General features: G+C 46.4%; 1 annotated feature.

Moving 5' to 3' along the window:
* Window positions 606-1,132: an enhancer, noted in NCBI's record as "OCT4-NANOG-H3K4me1 hESC enhancer chrX:40097124-40097650 (GRCh37/hg19 assembly coordinates)". NCBI's record gives its function as "activates a minimal SCP1, AML or CMV promoter by ChIP-STARR-seq in naive H9 embryonic stem cells {active_cell/tissue: H9 hESC(naive)}" and the evidence as "EXISTENCE:reporter gene assay evidence [ECO:0000049][PMID:30033119]".

Below are 3,568 nucleotides of genomic sequence, written 5' to 3' on the forward strand. Positions count from 1 at the left end.
CTACCACGCCCAGCCTTTTTTTTTTTTTGGCAACTCAATTTCCAGAAAGAAATGAAGGGCCAGTTTAGACAACTCTTACAGACCTTTGCATCCATTCAAAAAGGTTTAGAGTGGGACATATTGTGTGAGATTTTAATTATTTTTTTGAGAGAGAGGTGTCTCGCTATGTTGCCTAGGCTGGTCTTGAACTCCTGGCCTCAAGTGATCCTTCTGCCTCAGCCTCCCGAGTAGGTGGGATTACAGGTGTGTTCCACCATGCCTGGCTAAAAGTGGGGCATATTTGAAAATGTCTCCCTAGGAGAAGTTTGAGCCCATAGCACAGACACCCCTTGCAGAGCTCTCTTCCTCTGATCCTCCCCCAGCCCCATTCCCATCAAAGCTCCAGAAAAGCGAAAGGAGACAAAACAGATAACAAGCTGAACAACAGAGAGGAGTTTCTCTGAAGTTCAATGCTGAAAATAAGAGGGGAGAAAAAAAGGAGACAAGAAAAAACTTTAAGAAAAGCAGAAGTGAATTCCAATGAGTTTGCATTCAGCTTCAGTGAGTAGCCGCAAGGCTTGCCAGGGAGGCGAGCTGGGTGCCAGGCCCTCGCTATTTCTGCCTTCACCTGCGCCCTTCGTGCGCATCCGTGGGTAGCACCCGTAACGCAGCGGGAACGCCGACCTCCCGGACTTGCCTCCGCTCATGTCAAGTGGTAGAAGCAAGACTCAGGATCCTTCAGGTAGCAGGGAGCAACAGAGGCATACAACAGCTTTAGAGAACCCAGGGACCCCTGCTGACAGCCCAGGGTGCCTGGTAAGGAAATAAAGTGTTTTGTTTGGCTTTGTTTTGTTCTGCACAGCCTTCTCTCCCAGCCCCATTCACCTCTACAGTATCACTTGAAGCAACAATGTAGCTTAATTATGCTGCCTTTATAAAACTTTGAACTAGGCAGGCTCCTTTCCTTGTGCTAAAATCCTTTCCTTCCTTTCAGAGCTGAAAGAGCTTCCCTGCTCAGTCTGGTTTTAAAACCCTCACATCAAGCATGGAAAATTCTATAAATACCAAATGCATACCTGGAGTTTAACCTTTAATTATTGTAGCCTCCAGCTCAACCTCCTGATTCTACCATTTTCTTTCTGCACATATGTCCTCTTTAAGCTCTGTCCAGAGTTTGATCAACATTAATAATAGTAAAAAAAATCTCCTTGGGAAGACTTTCAGAGCTGTCTGAAGAGGAACAGAAATTGTCAAAGTGGGTGCGATCTTTGGAGAAACACTCATCTGGCAGCCTGTGGCGCCGTATTGATGTTGGAGGTTTGGCTCAGTTTGGTGGCCTGAAATCACCACAATCCCATGCAAAGGAGGTAAAGCAGATATATACTGACTTGGCTCCATTTTCCCCCAGGTAGTCTCCTGGATGCATTTGTTCTGATGACCACTGTTCTGGTTATTTATTGCTGCATAATAAACCACCCCAAAATTAGTGTCTTGAAACACCAATCATTTAGTTTTGAAACCAAACCCATAGTCCCATAGACAGTTTTCTTTCCTTTTTTTTTTTTTTTTTTTTTTTTTTTGAGACAGAGTCTCACTCTATTACCCAGGCTGTAGTGCAAATGGCATGATCTTGGCTCACTGCAGCCTCTGCCTCCCCGGTTCAAGCAATACTGCCTCAGCCTCCCGAGTAGCTGGGATTACAGGCACACACCACCACACCCAGCTAATTTTGCATTTTAGGTAGAGACAGGGTTTTGCCATGTTGTCCAGGCTAGTCTCGAACTCCTGACCTCAAGTGATCCGCCCACCTCAGCCTCCCAAAATGCTGGGATAACAGGTGTGAACCACTACTCCCAGACGACAGGTTTTTTTTTTTTTTGGTAAACATAGAAATTGACCCTTCTGGTCTTAAAGCAGAAACCTTTATTTGTTTTATCCGAGTTCCTTCCTCAGGAAAGGACCTCCAGCCCTCTCAAAAAGTATCAAAGAACTGAAATTCACCAGATCATCACATCCAGACAAAGAGATGCCAGGCTGCTCATTCATCATGATTGCTTCCTTACCCCTCCTGAGTTCCTGTTTTCTCACGTATAGTTACATTTCTTCCTTGCTAAATAAACCTTAATTTTAGTAGGTCGAGGAGATGGAATTTTTTTTTTTTTTTGAGATGGAGTTTTACTCTTGTTGCCCAGGCTGGAGTGCAATGGCGCGATCTTGGTCATTGCAACCTCTGCTTCCTGGGTTCAAGCGATTCTTATTCCTCAGCCTCCCACGTAGCTGGGATTATAGACGCCTGCCACTACGCACAGCTAATTTTTGTATTTTTAGTAGAGACTGGGTTTTGCCATGTTGACCAGGCTGGTCTCCAAATCCTGACCTCAGGCAAACTGCCTCCCTTGGCCCGCCAAAGTGCTGGAATTACAGAGGAGATGGATTTGACACTGATCTCCCATCTCTTTGGCTGCAGTACGCTGCAGTACCCAATTAAAGACTTCTTCCTTGGCAATACTTGTTTCAGTGATTGGCTTCCCGTGCAGGAACAGCAGGACCTAGACAGAACCCCTGGTGTTTTGGTAACAGATTGCTCCCAAATTTGTGATCTGGGCAGAGTCGGTGGGACCAGTTTGTCTTTGCTCCATGGAGCATTCTCTGGGGTGGCTTAAAGGATGGGGAGTGCTCGATGGCTGGGGGCCAGAATCAGCCAAAGGCTCTGTGATCTAATCTCTCACAAGTCTGGTGTCGATGCTGGCTGTCCAATGGGACGCAGCTGGGGTTGTTGACTGTAGGCTGTCTGTGTGGCCTCTCTCTGTGGCTTCTTGGCTTCCTCATAGCATGGAGGCTGGGTTCTAATCATGAGTGTCCCAAGGCCACAAGGTAGAAGTGCATGGCATTCCCATGGCCTAGTTTCAGAAGTCACATAGCTTCACTTCTAACATGTTCTAGTGGTCCAGGCAGTCATGAAGTCCTGATTAGGTTCAAGGGGAGCAGGTGTAGACCCCACCACTGGAAGGGCCATTGCTATTGGGGTGTCATTGTCGCATTGTAAGAAGAGTCTGTGGGATGGGAGATTGTGATAGCTGTCTTAGTTTGCTTAGGCTGCCATAACAAAATAGCATAGATGGAGTGGCTTAAGCGACCAACATGCATTTCTCAGTCCTGAAGGGTAGAAGTCCAAGATCAAGGTGTCAGCAGGGTTGGTGCCTGTGAGGCCTCTCTGGCTTGTAGACAGCCGCCTTCTCATTGTATCCTCACATGGCCTTTCCTGTTTGTGTGCATGGAGAGAGAGATTTCTGGTGTCTCTTCTTACAGGGACACCAGTTCTATTGTACTAGGGCCCCACTCTCACGACCTCACTTAATCTTAATTACCTCCCTAAAGGCCCTGTCTCCAAATATAGCCATATTGGGGTTAAGGTTTCAACCTATGAATTTTGAGGGGGACACAATTTAGTTCATAACAGTGGCCATCTTTGGAAAATGCAATTTGCTACAAGCCCTGAGCTGTGTTCCTCTCTTTGGGTCTTTCAAGCTGAAATCATCCTTTTTGAGTGATAAGCAGGTCAAAAGGATAGTGTTGAGTTTGACCTGTA

The sequence above is a fragment of the Homo sapiens genome, chromosome X (assembly GCF_000001405.40).
Source record: "Homo sapiens chromosome X, GRCh38.p14 Primary Assembly".
Classification (NCBI taxonomy): Eukaryota; Metazoa; Chordata; class Mammalia; order Primates; family Hominidae; genus Homo; species Homo sapiens.